This window comes from Homo sapiens, chromosome 18 (assembly GCF_000001405.40).
Source record: "Homo sapiens chromosome 18, GRCh38.p14 Primary Assembly".
In the NCBI taxonomy this organism is placed as follows: domain Eukaryota; kingdom Metazoa; phylum Chordata; class Mammalia; order Primates; family Hominidae; genus Homo; species Homo sapiens.
Window position 1 is genome coordinate 2,349,570 of NC_000018.10, and position 22,021 is coordinate 2,371,590.

The following is a 22,021-nucleotide window of genomic DNA, read 5'->3' on the forward strand; positions in this document are numbered from 1 at the left end:
ATCTCACTTTTTTTTTTTTTTTACTAAAAACAAAAGTCACAATTCAGAAATCATCTTCTCACAACCCTACTGGTAATCCTAAGAATCTAATCAGGCTAGTCAGATTTTTCTCCAAATTTGTGCAAATTACTTAATTAAAAATGAACAGTAGAGAATATTTAAAATTACCTGTAATGGCTATAACCCTAAATGACAACAGAAACTTTCTATTGTCAAAGTGTTTTCTTTTGAAAACAGCCCTTACTAAATTATCACTTGCTCATGGAGCTTAAGATTCACTTGCAACACTTTAGTTCCCCAGGTGGTACTAATTTTACAGCAGCATAGGAGGCAAATACGGTGATTTCTCAGTGTGATCATTTATCTTGTGTTTTTATATTATTAGCTCCTGTTTCCAAGATGCCCAACATTTGTGCCAACAGATGGCTGGAAAATGCCTCAGTCAACAAAGGAGCAACGTCTACAACAAAGGGACAATGGATTGAGCAGTCAGGGAATCACCAAGCCAGACAGCAGCTAACACTTTTAAAATAACTGTAAATTATTTACAACAAAGCTGTACATTTAAAAAACTACAAGATCTATTTCATATAATCAATTAATGCTGAATAATAAAATTTTAATTGTATTTAACATATTGTAGTTGATAAGTATCAACTACATCTCCATTGATGATTGAACCTTAGCAATTCATTCAGTACAAAATTGGAACAAGATACTCCCTGACTTCAAGAATTTCACAATGAATTGGGATAGGCACAAGGGTCAGGTAATTATCTTAGCTCTTGCTTGGGTAGCCAGGGGTATGTAAATCAGATTAGGAGCACCAGGATTCCTTTCAAGGGAGGTGATATTGAGCAGAGATGTGATGGTAGAGTACACATTAATTAGGAAAACAGGTGGTGGGAAGTCATTCTGAGCAGAGGGAAGAACATGCGGGAAGCCATAGAGCGTCATAAGGCATGACCCTATCCCAGCGCTGCTAGAGGTTCCGTATATCTAAAGATGATGCAGGAGCCAGAACTAGGGGCTGGATAATGGAGAAGCTTGCATGCTAAACTTATTACGAACTTTATTTTGAAAGTAGTGGAACGTTATTGGACCACTTCAAAAGCGGAGTGTTACGTTCAGGCTTGAATTTTAGAAATATCTGTCTGGTAGCCATGTGCAGGTTGGTTGGAAAGGGAGGCATCAGACAGGAGACGAATGAGAAAGCTGTTGCAGTCATCTGGGTGAGAAACCAACGAGGGCCTGAATAAGATGGCGGCTGGAGACTAGCGCTGGAGAGGGGGAGCCTTCCATATCCGGCCACTTCTCTCCACAGCCGCCATTTTGGCAGAAGCCTAAGCCTTGCTCATCCCTTACTTAGGCTACATTTTCAAAAGTCAGAAAAAACTTTTTCCTGAAGAAGGGGTTTCTGAGACAAGTAGGTCAAAGAAAGGCCAGCGTGTGGGAGTGTGTGTGTGTGTGTGTGTGTGTGTGTGTGTCCTTGAGTAAAATTGCAAGCCAAAGAGGAAGGCAGCAGTATGTATTCTCTGTAGGTGAGCAGGAAGCTTGCGGCCCTACACAGTGCTGACGTAATGAGTCCGTCCTGTGCCTATTCATTCAAAACAGGATTGAGACGTCAGCTTGACAAAGCTTTCTCTCCTCGCAGGACCCCTATTTGTGACCAATTGTAAGATCATCTGAAGATCGAGTCCGATTGCCTGGCCAGGCCGGGCTGGGTGGTATGTGCCCCCGTCACGCCGGAGGTTCCTGCTTTAGCGACGCCAAAGATTGGGTGTGAGGGCAGCCCGCGGTGACAGAGACACGGATCGGACCGAGAGAAAAAGGCTGTGGGCTTCACTGAGCAGAGTGACGGTAGGAAGCTTCCACAGCGCGGAAGGGTCCCCCGCGGGTAGCCAGTGTTAGATCTTTTGATCACCTTTTAAACTCTTTAAGGCGGGAAATACCCGAGGTGGGAAGATGTTACCAGAGCAAGAAACAAAGACGATTAAGATGTCTTAGATCTTGAGGAAAACCGGCATGGTAACTTAACTTTTACCTGCTTTATGACCTTGCAGCGGCATGGCAAAGGAGACAGGATCTCACAGGACTTTACAGATTGTGTTGACAAGGAATTGGAATTGGGACATAGATAAGGTCTGCTGATCGCAGGAAAATGGGCTTTTAACATTCCTTTTAGTTTCAGGGAAGGGGCAAGGGAGAGAGGGAGCGAGGACACAGGGAAGCTTACAGCAAAAGTTTCGCTGTTTATAGCTTTCTTGGGGGAAGAAAACACATGCCCAAGTTTTGATGTTAGGAATATTATTTTAAGCACATATCTTTAATATTATTCATCCAGGACCAAAGTAAGTCCTGATGCAGGAAAGGAGTGAGTTTCACAGCTTTCTGAGCCCCTAATCAACCCAGGAAGCCCAGCTGGAACCTCCTCTCACTGTTAGGCTAGATTTTAATTACATCTAAGTGACAGTAACTTTCCTTATTCCTATTTGACCTGGTATTTTCTGGTTTCAATTTCTCTCGTTGAAAGGAACAACATTCCTAAGGCAAAATTCACAAGGCAGATATCTAATAATTTGTTTGGGTGCTGTTGAAAGAAATTAACGAAATGATCCATCGCTCCCTCAGAACTCCCACATGTGTGCACGTACACACATCCCCACACATTGGCTTTCTTCCAGTTCTTTAAATCTCAGGTTCTGAAAGAGATGCCAAATGGCTGGTACATTAATCCTGGCTTTTAAGCACCTACACACCAGGAAATGAATGTTCACAATAAAAGGCACAGTAAGGTGAGCGTCAATTCAGAACAGCAGAAGTGGAAATGTATATTCATTTGTAAATATTAGGATTTCATGGCTACATTGGCACTTGAGATCATTTCAAAGAATATCAATAATTAGAGACTGGTGGAGAATATTCCAGACACAGAGGAAAACATGCTAAGATGATGAGGAAAGACAAATTGATATGTTCGGAAAAGTGTAGGGAAGAGGGAGATGAAAAGAAATTTATAAATGGATACAAATATGTGATTTGATAGAAGAAATAAGACATAGAGTTAAAGAGATCAGTAGGGTTATTCTAGTTCACAGTCATCTATTGTATATTTCGTAATAAGTAGAAGATAATTCAAATAGTCCTAGCATAAAGAAAGGACAAATGTTTAAGGTGATGGACATCCCAAGCACACTGATTGGATCTTTACAAATTATATGAATGTATTAAATTCTCACATGGATCCCAAAATTATGTACATCTATTATGCATCAAAAAAAAATAAATTTAAAAGAAGAAAACTGTAGGGAACCCACTCTGGCTGAGGCATATAGCATGGGGAGGGACGGAGTTGAATTGTCAGAGCCATTAGGTCAAACTAGAAATTGTCAGTGAGGTATTGGTGTTTAATCCTGGCAACCACAGGAAATGATTGCCTAGTATTTAAGCAAACTGGTGATGTGAACCATGCTTCAGAATTTAGTTTTTATTCTAAAAATAGAAAAAAAAAACTCTCTAAACCTTCCGGCCACTATTTTATTTCCCCAATGAAAATGGCAGGAGTCATCTCAGGGTTTACATGGAAAAATCACTTTTAAAAATACATTTGCATATATTTTCCCATTTAGTCGTCATGGAAACTCTGAAGCAGGTACTGTCCTGGCTCTCCCTTTTACTAGATGTATGACCTTGGGCATGATACCTAAGTCAGCATTCATCTCTAGCATGGTAATAACAGTAGTACCTACTGCCTGTGTTTAATGTATAAAAGACACAATGGATGTAAAAGCACTTGGCACCATACCTACTGCATAATAAGCTTTCAATAAATATTAGATTTATAATTATCATTATTATTATTACTTTATAACAAGGAAAATGAGACAGAAAGTTAAGTGGTTTGCCCAAAGTTGCTGGGCTAGGAAGTGGCCGAGTTAAACTTGACTGCAAGCTACTGGCATGATGTTTCAAAACTGCAAATCGTATCATGCTCCCTGTGAAAGTGTAAGTAAATTATAGGTCCAATAATGGAGAACTGACTAGGTAAATTGTGCACCTCTATCATGTGGAATTCTACAAACCAATTATGGTGATGTTCAAGAATTATTTTTTCCAACATAGAAAGAGTCAAATATATTATTACATTTTTTAAAAGTTAATGTACACTAAGAGTTTTTATTAAAGATAAATAATAGAAATATCCTTTCAGGGTAGAAAATATTCTAAAAGGATGTATGCGCCGAGGCTCTCGGTAACTGAAAAAGAGTGAGAATGGATTTTTCTTATTCCTATGCTCACTCATCTGTGAGCGTAGTAATATGTGCCATGTTTGACATATCCATGTTGAACACAATTTGTCTTAAAATACATCTTTTAAACTTCCACCTTTCTCCCCTCAACCCTAAAACACACTTCCTCTTCATAGCACACCTGTCTTGGTGCCAAACACACAAAGCATTCTTTTCTAAGATGATATATCCTACCTAAGATCCTATGAGGAATAGTCCTTGGCAGAACACATGACTCGCCCATTATTTAATCGTGTTACTGTCTGTTTGTTGCAAAGGGCTAATCTTAATCATAGAAAAGTTTAATGTTCTATAGATCTTTACTGTGGGCCATGTAGAATGGTAAGAAAAAAATTTAATTTCCCACTTTCCCTTATTCTCTGTCATAACCATGGATCTAAAATTCATCCCAAATCTCAAAGACCTTGAGTTTAGTCTAATATCTTTTTTGAAATGTATGTATGTACAACATACATAACTTAAAATTTACTATCTTAACCATTTTAACTGTAAATTTCAGTGACATTCACATTGTACGACCATCATCACCATTCATCCACAGAACTCTTTTCATCTTGCAAAACTGAAACTCTGTACCAGTTAAACAATAACTCCTACCCCCTCCTCCAAGCCCCTGGCCACCACCATTCTACTTTCTGTCTCTAGGGATTTGATTACTCTAGATACTTCATATACGTGGAATCATTGCTGTGTTTGCCCTTTTGTGAATGGCTTATTTCACTTAGCATGATGGCCTCAAAGTTCGTCCGCGTTGTATGCAGCTAGAAGCCATTATCCTCAGTGAACTAACTCAGAAAAATAAATACCATGTGTTCTCATTTATAAGTAGGAGCTAAATATTGGGTACACATGGACATAAAGATAGGAACAATAAGCACTGGGGAGTACAAGAAGAGGGAGGGAGAAAGTGGGGCAAGAGTTGAAAGCCTATCTATTTGGTATTGTGCCCCCTACCTGAGTGACAGACTCATTTGTACTGCAAACCTTGGCATCACGCAATATACCTTTGTAAAAAACCTTCTTATGGACCCCCTGATTCTAAAATAAAAGTTTTTAAAAATTGATTACATTAAATTAAATTTAAATTAAAAGGACATACCATTTGACCAACATCAACAAAAAAATTTCATCCATGATGTAGCAAGTGTCAGAATTTCTTTCCTTTTTAAAGACTGAACAGTAGTCCGTTGCATGAATTTGCCACATTCTGTTTATCCTTTCATTTATTAATGATGACTTCAGTTGCTTTCATGTTTTGGCTATTGTTAATAATGCCACTATGAACATGGGTACACCAAAATCTCTTCAAGTTCCTATTTTCTATCCTTTTGGATACAATCCAGAAATGGAATTGCTGGATAACACTATTTGTTGAAAGACTGTCTTTCCCCCCACTGAATGGTCTTAACAACCTTGTTGAAAAATCATTTACTGTATATGTGAGGGTTTGTTTTTGGGCCCTCCATTTTATTCCATTGGTTTATATGTCTGTCTTTATGGCAGTACCAAACTAATTTGATTACTGTAGCTTTGTAGTAAGTTTTGAAATCAGGAAGTGTGAGACCTCCAATTTTGTTCTTCTTTTTCAAGATTGTTTTGGCTACTTGGGGTCCTTTGAGATTCCATTATGACCTTTAGGATGGATTTTTCTATTTCTTCAAAATTATCAATGGGATTTTAATAGAGACTGCATTGAATCTGTAGTTCACCTTGAATCTGTAGTTCATCACTATCTTAATAATAAATCTTCCAATTTGTGAACACTGGATGTCTTTCCTTTTATTGTCTTCTTTAACTTCTCTAACGATTTTTCTTTATTTTTCCAGCTCAGTGGCCTATAATGCCCTTTCCTAGACTTTGCCTTTTTCCTCTGTAGTGGTTTGAGGCCCTATTGACTTAATTTGACTGTGTTTGATATGCAAAAATAGGCAATTTGAACTCTTTGATACGTAATGTAAGGAGTGATGATACGTTATGGCAGAGGTCCTGGGTGTTCTGAATAGTTGGTGACATCGTTAATTTAGCTGTCTAAATTGGTGAAATAATCATTATATAATGATGAATGAAAAAATATACTACATAAGACCCCTGAAAAAGCAAATATCAGAGTTCTCCCACCCTATGTCTTTTGCCAATGGCTATAACTGTCCACTGTGAAATGTGAGTGGTCATGGAGTTGGCAGTGGGGATCATTGGAAGAACATGAGATAAGATATCATGGACATAGGTAGGGTAATGTAAAAATTTTTATAAGTTTCCTTACTTGAGCTTAAGTTTGGGTATAACCTGTTTCAATGTTTGCTAACCTTCAAAAAGTTTTCAATAAAATCCCCTGAGATTCTTACGTGCCCTAATGTTCTCTCTCCTATGTCTCCTAAGAAGTTATGAGTACAGAAGTGGGCATCCAGGAACGTATTTGACAAGGGATTTGAAACTGAGGGCCAGGACGCAATAGCCCATTAATGCACGAGAACATCTGGTGCTCCGTGAGATATTCTAGTGATAACAACAGCAAAAAAGCTCTATTCTCGTGAGAACGATCTGAATCGATCTGATTCTTGATCTCTGACATTGTAATTTGAAATTACAGAAGTATTCAGGCCCTCAGGAGCGGTAACTAAAATGGAGAAGCTGCGCTGAAAGGTGCCGTGGGCAAGTCAAAATTAAAAGTAAGTTGAGTTACACAGTAGTAGAAATTGCTACTGTACTAGCATAGTATCTCATAGCAGTAGTCAGTACTAGTCAGGATGAAGAGCAGGAATCAGAGCTGTTAGGCAGAAGACACTATCGCTAAAGGAGCCACTCAAAAGCTAATCCAGTCGTGCCACTCACCAACTTAAAGTTAAACCTCCTTTGGGGTCCATCATGATCTGCCCCCATCTTTTACCTCCATCTCACAACTCCCACCGCTCACTCCTGTTGTCTTTCAGCCCCAGTGATCCCCCATGCTGAACTATAGTGGTCCCCTGCAATCCACTTTTGCTTTACAGGCTTCAGTTTCCCACGATCAACCACAATCTGAAAATATTAAGTGGAAAATTCCAGAAATAAACAATTCCTAAGTTTTAAATTGCACATCGTCCTGAGTAGCATAATGAATTCTCATGCCATCCCACTGCATCCCACCTGGGACGGGAATTATCCCTGTGTCGGTGTCTCCATGCTGCCTCAGGTCCCCACCCATTTATTACTCAGCAGCCAACTCAGTGATCAGATCAACCGTTGCAGTATTGCAGTGCGCATGCTCATGTAAACCTCATTTGACTTAATAATGGCCCCAAAGCACAAGAGTAGCAATGCTGGCATATTGTTATAATTGTTCTATTTCATTACTGTTGTTTTTAATCTCTCACTGTGCCTAATTTATAAATTAAACTTTATCATAAATATGTATGTATAGGAAAAAAGCATAGTATATATAGAGTTCGATATTATCCATGGTTTCAGGCATCCACTGGGGGTCTTGGAATGTATCCCTGTGGGTAAGGGGGGACTATGTACTTGTGGTTTCTGAAACAGATCACGTGCTCTCTCAGCTCTTGGCCAGAGGACATGCTGTGTCCTGTCTACCCAACACCCATCTCTGTCTGCCTGCCTCATCTAGTTCATCACTCCTACTTATCTCTCAGGGTTTAAGACTATGTCTAGACTAGGAACCTTTCCTTTGGGCTTCATTTGTGCTTTGTCAGTTTCTTTATTTGCCACTCCTGCAGTGAACTGCAAGCTCCTTGAGGAGCAGTTGTCCTTTATGCCCAGGCTTAGCCAGGCACCTGGCACATAGCAGTCAGGCAGGAAAATAGGGTCTGGAGGCAGGGAACATATGGCCGACTCACACTTCAGCTATGACAGGAAATATCCTCTCCATAAGGCATGCACCAAGTAACTATTGAAAACCTCTAGAGGGCATTTAAACCCCCAAAAATTCTGTTTACGGGGCCCTTGAGCCCCTATGCTCGGGCCCGCTCCCACACTGTGGAGTGTACTTTCATTTTCAATAAATTTCTTCATTCCTTCCTTGCCTTGTTTGTGCGTTTTATCCAATTATTTGTTCAAGACGCCAGGAACCTGGACACCCTCCACCGGTAACAGTAGGAGCTCAGTATTTGTTTTACTAAAAGTCATACCCTCAGGTTAAATTTTATAAGAAAATCCAATTATATGCAGCATACAAAAAAATGGAAATATAGTGGTAAAATTGTGAAATGAAGTACAATTCAAGAAGAAATAATGAAACAAGTCAGAGAATCACTTTGACGAAATGATGCAACTCATAAGAAGGCAATGTCTCCACTAGGTGATACTTCCTCCAGGAGCTCTCCTCTCTCCATCCAACCTGGTTTAGGTTTCTGCCTAACCCCCTCACCTTTCTTGCAACCCTCTCAACTGACATCATTTGTCTTGGTGGGGTTCCCCACAACTCTGTAGTTCTTCTAGAGGAGTGACTGTGTCTTTTTACCTTTTTATCTCCAGCATTTGATAAATGGTGAATGGATGAATGAGACAGAGGCATGAATCTTTTGCAAAAAATAACATGACATCAAAATATATAGCAAAAAAACTATAACAAGTGAAAGTAGAAATGACAGTTATACAATCATGAGATATTTTAACACACTACTATCCATCTTTGAAAAATCAATTGAATAAAAAATAAATAAGGGCAAGGAAGAATTGAACTATATAACAAAGTTACATTAATAAATACTGAACTTTGTAACCCAGATATAGAAAATGCTTCCATAAATCAGATGTTTACAAAAATAGACCATGACCAGCCCACAGAGAAAACTTCAATTTACTGCACAAAGCACAAATTATGTAGAACAAGTTCCTGAAGGAAATACAAAAACAAAAAAGAAAGAAAAAGGAAAGAGAGATATAGCAGAAGCCACTTAGCAATTTAGAAAGCTTTACCAATGGTCCTATAAAGGTTGACATTATTTGAAGCAATAATACCCTTTCCAGAGATCCAGCTCAAGGAAATGATCTCAATTCCATCCTCAGATTTCTATGTACAAATATTATTTTATAACATTTTTATAATAGAAAAGAATAAGAATTCCTTAAATGTCTAACATTAGAAAAATAGTAAATTATAGTGTGTATATCTAATGCAATATTATGAAGCCATTAAAATTATGTTTATAAAGATTTTAGCAGCATGAAAATATTTCTGTTTCAGTCAGGTTGCTATATAACAAATCACTCCAAAACCTAATGCCTTGAAACTATAACAGTTTATTATTTCTCCCAGTCCTATGGGTTGACTGTGTGACTCTCCTGTTTTGCATGATTTTGGCTACAATTTTGGGATGTCTGGAAGGTCCAAAATGGCCACCCTCATGTGCCTGGACCTGGGTTATCTTCCATGAGCCTTTCCATGTGGCTTCTTACACTCCCTGGAAGAATGGGGACTAGAACACAAGAAGAACTGTTCTAAGCAGCAAAGGCAGAAGCCATTGATCTCTTAAGGCCTAGTCTCAGAAATTACACAGCATCACTTCGGCTGCTGTGTTTTATTCATCAAATTAAATCCCAGGGCCAACCTTGTTTCAAGGGAGGGGAAAAGAGATTGCTTCTCAATGGAAGTGTTAAAGCAAACTAAATATGGCCTGAGAAGGACTTGGTACTTCTATATTTGAGTCCTTGTGGATGAACTGCAACCTAACTTAATAGGTAGACAAGATTGAAAACCTAATTTAGGAGTATGCCCTGTAACAATCCCTTAGTCAGCGCCAATCCTAGCAACCATACTTCAACCAGTCATACACTGCTGAGTGTTCAAACTCTGTTCAAATAAGGCAGACGCCAAGCTGTAACCAATCCAGCTGTTTCTGTACCTCACTTCTGATTTGTGTGCGTCACTTTACCTTTTTTGTCTATAAATTTGTTCTGACCATGAGACACCCCTGGAGTCTTTCTGAATCTGCTGCGATTCTGGGGGCTGCCTGATTTCGCAAATCATTCACTGCTCAATTAAACTCCTTTAAATTTAATTTGGCTGAAGATTTTCTTTTAATAAAAGGATTGGCAAAGGATCTTTAATCCGTCATAATAATATAACATTAAGTGAAAAAATCCTATTTTTTCACTTAATTTTAAATATATACATATGTAAATATAAACTCAAGTCTAATTTGTAACATTACATGTATTTTTATATTTCCTATGAATAAAAATGTATATTATACATAGATTTATATTTTCCGTATGAACTTTAAAAGACCAAAGGGCAAAATGCTAACAAGGATTATCTCCGGATAGTGAAAGAGGCCTAATTATAATTTTATTCTTTAAAGGTTTCTGTTTGTTCCAAAGTTATGGAAATGTATTACTTTTAAATTGGAGCATAAATGTTATTTTAAATATATTTTATTCCCATATAGAAACATTTAAAGCAATTTCCTACAAAAGGCTAGAAGCGCTAAAGGAAATTGAATCAGAAGTGGATGAAAACCAACATCAGATTGAAAAGCAAACAAAATACAAAAAAGATAGTTCCAGATAGCACCTGTATAATTCTCTTCTTGACTGTACAGAATATTAAGCATTTGAATCATCAAACATTTCATAGCAGATTTATGATGGTATTGAACAAATGTATAAATGATTTTCCCCTTTCATTATACTTATAGTACATATTGAATATTTTTCTGCCTCCAAAAAGGAAAAAAAAAGAAACAAACATTCCTGTTTTTTGTGTATGGATCTAAGCTAAGATAAAGGGATGCAGCAGAAACCTTGAGGCAGGGAATAATAAAAATTGACATTTTTTTCATGTATTATACTAAACCCTAGAATAAAATAGAGGTGCTTTAAAAATAGTTTTACTGTTGTTTCTCTTGACCCTATGATTTTATAAAGTTAAAATAATGAGTGTTTTTTTTAAACAAAGGCAACACGCAATTTTAATGCAGCATCATAAATTATTGCATGGTTTTGATGGCAACTTTAGGTAACATAGAAACACTAAGGAAGAAAGAAACATGCATTCCTCTTATACGGATAGAAGTTATTTTCAAGGACACAGATCTGCTGTCTTAATAGTTTGCCTAGCCTTTCCAGAACTGTCAGGAGAGCCCAGTTTTTATCTTTGCATCCTCACTTCTTGGCTTACATCAAAAATTATATACTCCAGGAAAGAATTTTCTCTCCCTCCCAGAAATTGTCAAAGATTCCATAAGCCAACACAATTTCAGAAGAAAGAGAAATATTAGAAAAGCATTAGCCAAAAAAAGTGTGTACATGTACTCTGTTTATAGATGTGCATCTGCTGAACTTCAAAACAGCACCCCTCAATAGACATCTGCTGATGTATGTATACCAGATGAAGCCTCTATTTTCTCACAACCTGAGATTTCTAACTGCAGACAGAGTGACTCTCAGCTCCATTCCACGGATGAATTCTTAGCAGTGTTTCTCAAAACACATGCATATTGCTGTAGTGATCTCTTTGGCACTAACAGGTAATGATATGTGCCATGCAGAAGATGTTTGTGACATATGAGATTATTCCTAAGTCATGAAACATAAAGCTTTTCCTTTGAATCATTCTTTAACAAATAAGGCCAATTAGGTAGCAAGTGTTCCTTTGGGTCCAGGTGATTACATATAACATTTTAAAACACTTTTCTATAAAAGTGAAAACAATCCTATCAAAGCTATGGTAATATCTATTCTAGACTCAGTTATGCTGTTTTAAACTCCATTACAAATTTCTATAGACTAAGAATTTCAGCATCTTTAAACAACAATGAGACCTCAAGAGATGATTTCAAAAATGCCTTCCCCATCGTTTCATCACTTGCTTATACACGGGTCTTTTACCTTCATTAAGCTTCAGAGGTTTTATTAAATAATTATTTTCATTGTCCATGGACTCTGAGTGCATCGTACTGAGAAATAAACAGCTTAACATAGTTTTTGTTGTTTTTGTTTATCTCAGGGATTTATTTTAGGTCTTTGAGATGTTTTCCGTTTTCATGACCTAATGGCTGATTAATCTCATTTGAGTTCAAATATTTATTCAGTTGCTACCTCTTCGCAGGAAAACCTTCGTTTGTGTCGGATGGCTCGTTTTTTAATGATTGGGTCCTGCCTTGCCTAAAAATAGAAATGAAAATTCAAACTTTATGACATATTTAAAGAAATCCATTAATAAATATTCCTTTAGGTTCTGTATGGCACAAAGATTTTGTTCACAGTCTTATTCTAGATAGCTCATCTGGCGCACATTTTTTCATATACTTTATATTTTTTAAAAAGTAATAGAATAAAGTGGAATCAAGGCCTCTGAAGCAACAGGGTAAGGACAAACCCAGAAGCAATGGCCTGGTAATATGACAGGGAACATGGGTCGGTTAGGGATAAGCCTGATCATCAAACAGAAGCCTCTGAAAGTTTAACTTCATGCCAAGTGTTAAGTCTTTCTCTATCTCTCTCTCCTTCCTCCCTCCCTTTTTCTTTTTGTTTCTCAAAAATGCACAACTAATCGTCCTTGCTTGCCCAAAGTTAAAATTTAGTTAACGAAAACATCCACTAATAAGAACACCATATTTCCAAATCCAAGGAATAACATAGTTCCTGGGTTCGACATTTGAATTGGGAGTTTTATTTTTATGTAAGTTTTTTTACAGCTAGAGTTTTTGTTGTAGGAATGAGTATCATTTTCCATTATTGCAGATCCTAAATTAAGAACATGCTCAAAATTAGCTCATTTTAGTGTTACAGACAGTGATAGGAGTAAAATATATCTCCACTTTTTATTATGATCTTATTGTCTGCCACAAAATTTTATTATATTGCTTTGTGTGGGCTTTTTTAATACATATCATCTGATTTCCACAAAAGGCACATTTCCTTATCTTTAGACAGCAAAATATAAAGTTATATTCGGAAGGCAGCATTTCTGAATATTCTTCCTTAAAGAAATGGAACCCTCTGCTTTTGTGTTTGATTAAGAACATCACATGTATTTTAAGCACATGTAAATATCTCTTTTCCCTTGAAATGCTAGAGTTTTACAAGATTGGAAATGGGAAGAGGCATTTTAAAACTATCACTGTGATGATTACTGCTGATTTCTTATGTAAGCTATACCAAAGTTCAAATTTTTTGCCAAAATTACTCATAAAAAGTTATATATTCTCACTATAGACTTGCTAAAGTGTCTCTTGCTAAAGGAACTCAAACTGGTTCATAAATATTGTTTCTCTTTTAATCTCCCAACTCCCCTTTAAGATAGATGCTATAATTACACTAGAAAGAATTTTATTCTGCTGTCCAAAAAATTATGTTTATTATTTCTATTTCAGTGCTTGAAGAGGGTTCTATTGAAGAGGGTTCATTGTATTCAATCCCACTATGACCCAAGATGAGAGAGTTCTTCTCATTACTTTCTTTTTTCTGACACAGAGTTTTGCTCTTGTCGCCCAGGCTGGAGTGCAATGGAGGGATCTTGGCTCACTGCAACCTCTACCTCCCAGGTTCAAGCAGTTCTCCTGCCTCCACCTCTAGAGTAGCTGGGATTACAGGCACGTGCCACCACACTCGGCTAATTTTTGTATTTTTAGTAGAGACAAGGCTTCACCATGTTGGCCAGTCTAGTCTCGAACTCCTGACCTCAGGTGATCTGCCTGCCTCGGCCTTCCAAAGTGCTGGGATTACAGACATAAGCCACCTCGCCTGGCCTCTTCTCATTACTTTCATGCTGAAATGTTTTATAACATATACTACAACAAGCAGGAATATCAAATATCCTGCTTTAGGATCTCCATCTCAAAAGAAGAAAAAAATACCTCCCAACCCTGTGTGACGGTTAATATAGAGTGTCAACTTGATTGGATTGAAGGATGCAAAGTATTGTTCCTGGGTGTTTCTGAGAGGGTGTTGCCAAAGGAGATTAACATTTGAGGCAGCGGACTGGGAGAGGCAGACCCACCCTCAATGTGAGTGGGCACCATCTAATCAGCTCCAGCGCTGCTAGGATAAAGCAGTCAGAGGAACGTGGAAGGAACGTGAGTCTTCTGGCCTCCATCTCTCCCGTGCTGGATGCTTCCCGCCCTCAAACATCGGACTCCAAATTCTTGAGCTTTTGGACTCTTGGACTTACACCAGTGGTTTGCCAGGGGCTCTCAGTCCTTCATCCACAGACTGAAAGCTGCACTGTCGGCTACCCTGCTTTTGACGTTTTGGGAGGCAGACTGGTTTCCTTGCTCGTCAGCTTGCAAATGGCCTATTGTGGGACTTCCTCTTGTGATCGTGTGAGTCAATACTCCTTAATAAGTTCCCTTCATGTACACATCTATCCTATTAGTGCTGTCCCCATAGAGAACCCTGAGTAATACACCCTGAAATAAAGAAGTTTAGCAAAGTTTATGTGAATCATTTTTGTTTTGGTTTGTATTTGTTTTAATCAATTACATTCAAATTTTAGCTCTAGTGTATTTGGAATAGAATGGTTTAACTTCATTTCTTTAGCTGAGGCATTACGAAATTATGATCAAGCTTCTGCCATATTTTTATTCCTTAATATTTTATAATTTTAAAACCATTTTCATATGAAGTAACTTGACTTTTCAAGCAATCTTTTGTTAAGCAGGGCAGGAATTGTTATACATTTTCATAATGAGAAAATTAAAGTTTAGAGGAGGTTAAATACAGCCCAAGGTCACATTACCAGCAACTAGCAGTGTTAAGCCTTGAAGGCTAAGCTATGCCCACAGTTCTTTGTGCTGTATTAATGATGCATTGATAATTCCATGGTTACAAGAAACACATATTAAGTGCCTAGTAAATAATTCATTGTACAATTTTTCAAAGTATGAAGTAAAAGAAATAAAATATACAACTTTTGTTCATGAGTTTACATTCTAATGCTAAGAGAAAATATTAGAAGGAAAATATAGAAATATGTCTTCTACATTGAAACATGAGGGGTGTAGAAAGAAACATTTGAGATATGCAATCAGTGTACTTTAATATGGTACAAAGTGATTAAATGGGCCCTAGAGAAGCACAAAGTTTTCTCTTGGTTTGCTAGAGAAGCAATGTCTGCATTGTTCCAATGTAGTCACTAAGTGTCAAAACTTAATGTTTCTCTTACCAGAGAAATATGCCTGGTTTCAAGGTTACCAAACTGACTACTGTAAACAATTTCTGCAGTCAATTCACAGGACCTCCACAGTGTGCCTTTTGCTGGGTAGGAAAATGCCAGCCAGCTTGGAAAACAAGAAGACACATTTATGTCTACCATGAGCATTGGCATCAGCCAATTATCCCACACGTTTTCGGCTAGTCAGTGCTGAAGAGAGCAAGGTCAGTACTCTTTTAGCTGAAAGACCTAGGAGTTAACTAAGTGTGGCACTTTCTGTGTCAATTTCAAAGTATTTTATAATACTAAATAGTCACTAAATACAATTTATGGAATTTCGCACTTGGAGCATAAACTTTATGATCCTTCTCTTCCAGACTATTGTCATTTGCTTTTTGGCAAAGAATCAGATTTCTTCATTCCCTCTTTTCTAGTAATTCAATGAGCACTTTTGCATTCTATTTACATAATGGTTTATTGACAATTCTTTTGGAGGTGTTCTGCAAGCCACTTACTTCACCTGTGGGTTTCAAGGCTTTGGTTTATCTTGCAAAACAGAGACAATATCACCCACATCACTGCTCTCCAACTATTTGTGGGAAAGAACCAGTATTTTTTAATTATTATTTCAACTCTGTCACAAACCTCTATGTAGTTGTACTGTGCATGGCTGGTTCACAATGCACACATGCAAGTCTGACAACACACTATCCAGTCTATACATGATCTATGGAACAAGGCCACTGATCCCAAGCTTGAATGTCATAGAAATGTCAAATTGCTACAAAATTTTCTAAGTGTTTATTCCTTATTTCTGTAGCAGTGTGCATCAAATTTAGCTTTTATCTACACTTTCCACAGAGATCCATGACCCTTAGTACAAAACTGTGACCACCTGAGGAGCTCAATTGCTACCATCTAGTGGAATGACTCTTCTGGAGAACTCTTTCAGTCTAACCAACTACACATTTCCTTCAAGCACTGAACCTTCTACTTCATTTCCTTGCTGTTACAGTCTGTTTCCTTCTACATATTACACATGTCCAGGAATGGACATTTCTGATATAGTCTTCTTTTTAATTGGAAGACAGAGCTCATTTTTATTGTTTATTTATTTTTGAGACAGAGTCTTGCCCTGTCGTCCAGGCTGGAGTGCAGCGGTACAATCTCAGCTCACTGCAACCTCCACCTCCCAGGTTCAAGTGATTCTCGTACCTCAGCCTCCCAAGCAGCTGGGATTATAGGCGTGCACCAACACACCCAGCTAATTTTTGTATTTTTAATAGAGATGGGGTTTCACCATATTGTCCAGGCTGGTCTCGAACTCCTGACCTCAAGTGGTCCTCCCACCTGGGTCTCCCAAAGTGCTGGGATTACAAATGTGAGCCACTGTACCTACCCAGAGCTCATTTTTAAAAAGATATAGTCTCTACCCCAGGTTAAAAACTGTATGTCAACATATTAGAAGTATCTTAAAGATAAAATGCCCATATTAATGCTAATAACTTAAGTGACCAACTTAAATCACATGTGTGGCCCAGGAGGCTCACAGCAAATATTTGACCAATTAATAACAGGAAGCATCAAAGGGAGAGAAGTGAGGTGACCACATAATTTAACATCCAAATGTAGTTTATAATTCAGAACTCAAAAACATTCTATTATACAGGCATACTTCACTTAATTGTATATCCCTTTATCGCACTTCCCAGATATCGTGTTTTTTCACACATTGAAGGTTTGCAGCAACCCTACACTGAGAAAACCTATCAGTGCCATTTTCCCAAGGGTGTGTGTTCACTTCACGTCTCTGTGTCACATTTTGGTAATCCTCACAATATTCTCACAATAGTTCAGACCTTTTCATTATTATTATATCTGCTATGGTGATCTATGATCACTGATCTTTGATGTTACTTTAATTGTTTTGAGGCACCACAAACCATACCCATATGACAGCAAACTTAATCAATAAAGGTTGTGTGTGTTCTGAATGCTCCACTGACTAATCGTTTCCCATCTCTCTCCCTCTCCTCTAGCCTCCTTATTCCCTGAGACACAACCATATTGAAATTAAACCAATTAATAACCGTCCCATGGCATCTAAGTGTTCAAGTGAAAGGAAGAGTCGCATATCTCTCACTTTAAATGAAAACCTAGAAAAAAATTAAGCTTAGTGAAGAAGGCATATCTAAAGCTGAGATAGGCCAAAAGCTAGACTTCTTGTGCCAAATAGTTAGCCAAGCTGTAAATGAAAAGGAAAAATTCTTTGAGAACATTAAAGCTGCTACTCCAGTGAACGCACAAATGACAAGAAAGCAAAACAGCCTTATTGCTGACAGGGAGAAAGCGTGAGTGGTCCAAATAGATCAAACCAGCAACAACTTTGTCTTAAGCCAAAGCCTAATCCAGAGCAAAGCCCTAACTCTTTTCAGTTCTATGAAGGCTGAGAGAGGTGAGGAAGCAACTGAAGAAAAGTCAGAAGCTAGCAGAGGTTGTTACATGAGGTTTAAGGAAAGAAGCTGTCTCCATAGCATAAAAGAGTTACAGTAAATAGACAAGAATAAGGCAGGAGAGGGCTCTCCACTCACCAGGAATGTCAGGCAATCATCAGGTGATGGTTGGGTGGTTGTTAAACTGTCTCGCTAAGATAATAATTGGTCACAGCTGGCACCAGAAAAAGGCCGTCTCCAGGTAGATAGAAAACACCTGAAGCTAGTGATCACCTGCTTCCTGATAAGGTCTCAGGAATTGGGTGAGTGGGCTCCAGCATGTGTACTAAAAGGAAAAATGGCAGAGTTTAACTGGTATATGACCTTCTAGGAACACTTGACTGGTGAGGGAAGAATGCCTCAAGTGAGCATACATACAACTCCAATAATTACACTGCACATACAGCCCTTCCTAAGTGCTGACAGGCCACTGCACATGTGGACAGCCCAACCCGAGAAAAGAATCAGGAGAGAAGAGACACAAGACCCCAGAAGTATGCCAACATATAAAACCCTAAGTCAAAGGTCAAACTGCACACTTGAGTCTCTCAAGTCACCCGCTTGGGCCCCTTACAAGTGTACTCTGCTTCCTTTCATTCCTGCTCTAAAATTTTTTAATAAAATTTCAGATCTGCTCTAAAACTTGCCTCGATCTCTCCCTCTGCCTTATGCTCCTTGGTCAAATTCTTTCTTCTGAGGAGGCAAGCATTGAGTTTGCTGAAGACCCATACAGATTCACCACTGCTAACAAAACTACAAGGTAAAGAAGCAAATGCTGATGTGGAAGCCACAGCAAGTTATGAAGAAAATCTAGCTACAATCATTAATGAAGGTGGCTACACCAAACCACAGATTTTCAAGAGAGACAAACGAGTCATCTATTGAAACAAGATGCCATCTAGGATTTTCATAGCTAAAGAAGGGAAGTCAATACCTGGCTTCAAAGCTTCAAGGAACCGTCTAACTCTCTTGTTAGGGACTAATGCAGCTGATGACTTTAAATTAAAGCCAATGCTCATTTACCATTCTGACAATCTGATGGTTCTTAAGAATTATGCTACATCTACTCTTGCTGGGCTCTAGAAATGGAACAACACAATCTGAATGACAGCACAGTTTGCTGAATATTATAAGCCTAGGAGTGAAACCTACTGCTCAGAAAAAAAGATTCCTTTCAAAATACTACTGCTATTGACAATGCACGTGGCCACCCAAGAGCCATGATGGAGATGTATAAGATTAATATTGTTTTCATGCCTGCTAACACAACATCCATTCTTTAACCCATGAGTCAAGAAGTAATTTTGACTTTCAAGTCTTATGATTTAAGAAATACATTTCATAAGGCTATAGCTGCCAAAGATAGTAATTCCTGTGCTGGATCTGGGCAAAGTCAATTGAAGATATTTACCATTCTAGATGTCATTAAAACATTCATGATTCATAGGAGGAAGTCAAAATATCAACATTATCCGGAGTTTGAAAAAAGTTGATTTCAACCCTCATGGAAGGCTTTGAGGGGTTCAAGACCTCAGTGGAGGAAGTCACTGCAGGTGTGGTAGAAATAGCAAGAGAACTAGAATTAGAAATGGAACCTGAAGCTTTGACTGAATTCCTGCAATCTCAAGATCAAACTTTAACAGACACAAGTTGCTTCACATATATGAGCAAAGAAATTGATTTCTTGACATGAATCTACTCCTGGTGAAGATCCTGTGAACACTGTTAAAATAACAAAGGATTTAGAATATTACACCAACTTAGCTGGTAAAGCAGCATCGGGGTTTGAAAGCATTGACTTTAATTTTGAAAGAAGTTCTACTACTGTGGGTAAAACGCTATCAAACAGCATCACATGCTATAGAGAAATATTTTTTAAAAGCAAGAGTCAATTGATAGAGCAAATTTATTGTCTGATTTTAAGAAATTGCCAGAGCCATCCCAGCCTTCAACAATTATCACTTTGATCCCTCAGCAGCCACCAACATTGTGGCAAGACCCACCAGCAAAAAGATGATGACTCACTGAAGACTCAGATGTTCATTAGCATTTTTAGCAATCAAGTATTTTTTATTAATGTATGTACATTTTTAGATATAATACTACCACACACTACATAGACTATAGTACAGTATAAATATAACATTTATATTCACTGGGAAACCAAAAAATTTGTGTGACTAACTTTATTATGATGTTCACTTTGTTGCAGTGGTTTGAAATCAAACCCTCGATATGTCTCAGGTACGCCTGTAACATAACATAATAAATTTCAATTGTGAAATATATTGACCTAAACCTTTGCTTCTTTCAGGAAAAGTTACAGAGAGTATAATGTACTTACAAAAAACGTTTTTTAATAATCAGTGAAAGAATACAGGCATTGGTGGACAACATTTAAAGTAACATTATCTTCCTTGGCAATGATTTGGTAGAGATAAGGGAGAATGCTGGAAGAAGGTGGTTATTGCCCTCCTAAAATCCTCCTTGTGGTCCTAGGAGGCAATGGAAAGTTCTAGATGCTAACTCTGAGTGGTAATAGCAGGAACACTACTGCTGTCTTCACCCACCTCTTCTTACAAACATATATTCAGAGATTCACTTGAATTTTAGGCAGATTTGCTTTCTCTGCTTTCTCTGTTCTGTAAAGAATCAAGAGTCAGAAAGTTGCCCTAAGATCCTATATCCCAACCAGTATGCACCGAATGGGAATTCTAAATTAATGTATTATTATTGTCAACTGCAAAGGGAGCTTCCTAATATCCACTCTAATGAGAAAAGAAGAACAAAAATACAAGAAAATAAAGGAAAACAATAGCTTTTGCGCAGGAGAGATTATAGCAGAAAGATTTGACATTTATTTTACCAGAAGTTATTATCTAATATATTACAAGGTCAGACCTGTATGAATGATAAAAATCAGAGAATTATTAAGGCTCACAGACCATGTCTTCTATTCTGAACAATTAGTGTTTGGGATACAACAAAACAAAGGTACTTTACACTTAAAGAATATTTTTCCCTCATTTAAATTTCATTCACTCCTTACCTAAATATCACTGACTCTTTTATTGGACCTTATTCACTTGTCATCATTATTGCTTTTTTCATCTCCTTACTATGGAAATAAAATATACATGCAAGAACCTTGGGCTGAACTTACATCAAGTCCCACTGGAACATTGTAATAATACAAAATAAATCCTGAAATATAGACTTAAAAATATAGATAGTTCTATGAAGCTGGAGTTTACAATTTTTCTTTTCTAGAATCAGCCCTTAATCATACACCTCTTCTTTTCTTTTACTTACACAGAATTTCAACCCTTCTTGCTACATTCAAGACATAGAAATCCAGCCAGAAGACAACTCGAGATATTTTGTGGATCTATGCCTTTCCTTCAGAAAAGCAAATATCTACCATAAAAAAACACTGGTCCAATATTCACTTCTATAAGAAATGCAGGGGCAAATAAATTATGGATTTTATTATCGCTAATAGAGTCACTTAACCATTACTCCTTACTACATTCTGCTTTTCTAACAAAATTTCGACTGAATATTCTCCCTCAGAGCCTCCAAAAGGAACCAACTGATGACAACTGATTTTGGACTTCTGGCCTCCTGAACTATAACAAAATAAACATCTGTTGTTTTAAGCAAGCCAGGTTGTGATTGTTACAGAAGCTCTAGGAAACTAAAATACTTAATATCTAAGTATCTTAAAACTAAGATACCTTCTTATACCTTCTTATCATGCGATCATAGAAAATATGTCCAATTAGTCACAAGTGGGATTGGGCAAGAGAAGATGGATAAGGGGTGTAAATCCTTCACCACAATTAAGAAATTATACGTAGAAATTGCATTCTATTGGTGAAGCAATAAAATCATTGTTGGGAATAAGAACAGCATTACAGTGTGGTGGCTCAAACCTGTACTCCCAGCAATTTGGGAGGCTGAGGCAGGCGATTCACTTGAGGTCAGGAGTTCAAGATCAGCCTGGCCAACATGGTTAAACCCCATCTCTACTAAAAATACAAAAATTAGCAGGGCATGGTGGCGTGTGCCTGTAATCCCAGCTACTTGGGAGGCTGAGAAGCAGGAGAACCACTTGAACCTGGGAG

General features: G+C 37.8%; 1 long non-coding RNA gene across 5 annotated transcripts, besides 1 other annotated feature; it reads left to right on the forward strand.

Annotated features, from left to right (window-relative positions):
* Positions 1,011-21,557, forward strand: LOC105371961 (uncharacterized). Of its 5 annotated transcripts, XR_001753321.2 has the most exons (5): positions 1,258-1,541; positions 1,655-1,860; positions 6,901-6,979; positions 15,474-15,626; positions 21,211-21,557. It is a non-coding gene; the product is annotated as an uncharacterized LOC105371961 (long non-coding RNA). The 5 variants fall into 5 exon arrangements; XR_935097.4 differs by lacking the exons at positions 1,258-1,541; positions 6,901-6,979 and adding an exon at positions 1,011-1,232; XR_935098.3 differs by lacking the exon at positions 6,901-6,979.
* Positions 1,016-2,215: an enhancer, noted in NCBI's record as "CDK7 strongly-dependent group 2 enhancer chr18:2350584-2351783 (GRCh37/hg19 assembly coordinates)". NCBI's record gives its function as "activates an origin of replication core promoter dependent on BRD2, BRD4, P300/CBP, MED14 and CDK7 cofactors, with strong dependence on CDK7, by STARR-seq in HCT116 cells {active_cell/tissue: HCT116}" and the evidence as "EXISTENCE:reporter gene assay evidence [ECO:0000049][PMID:35650434]".
* Positions 21,558-22,021: the final 464 nt, after the last annotated feature.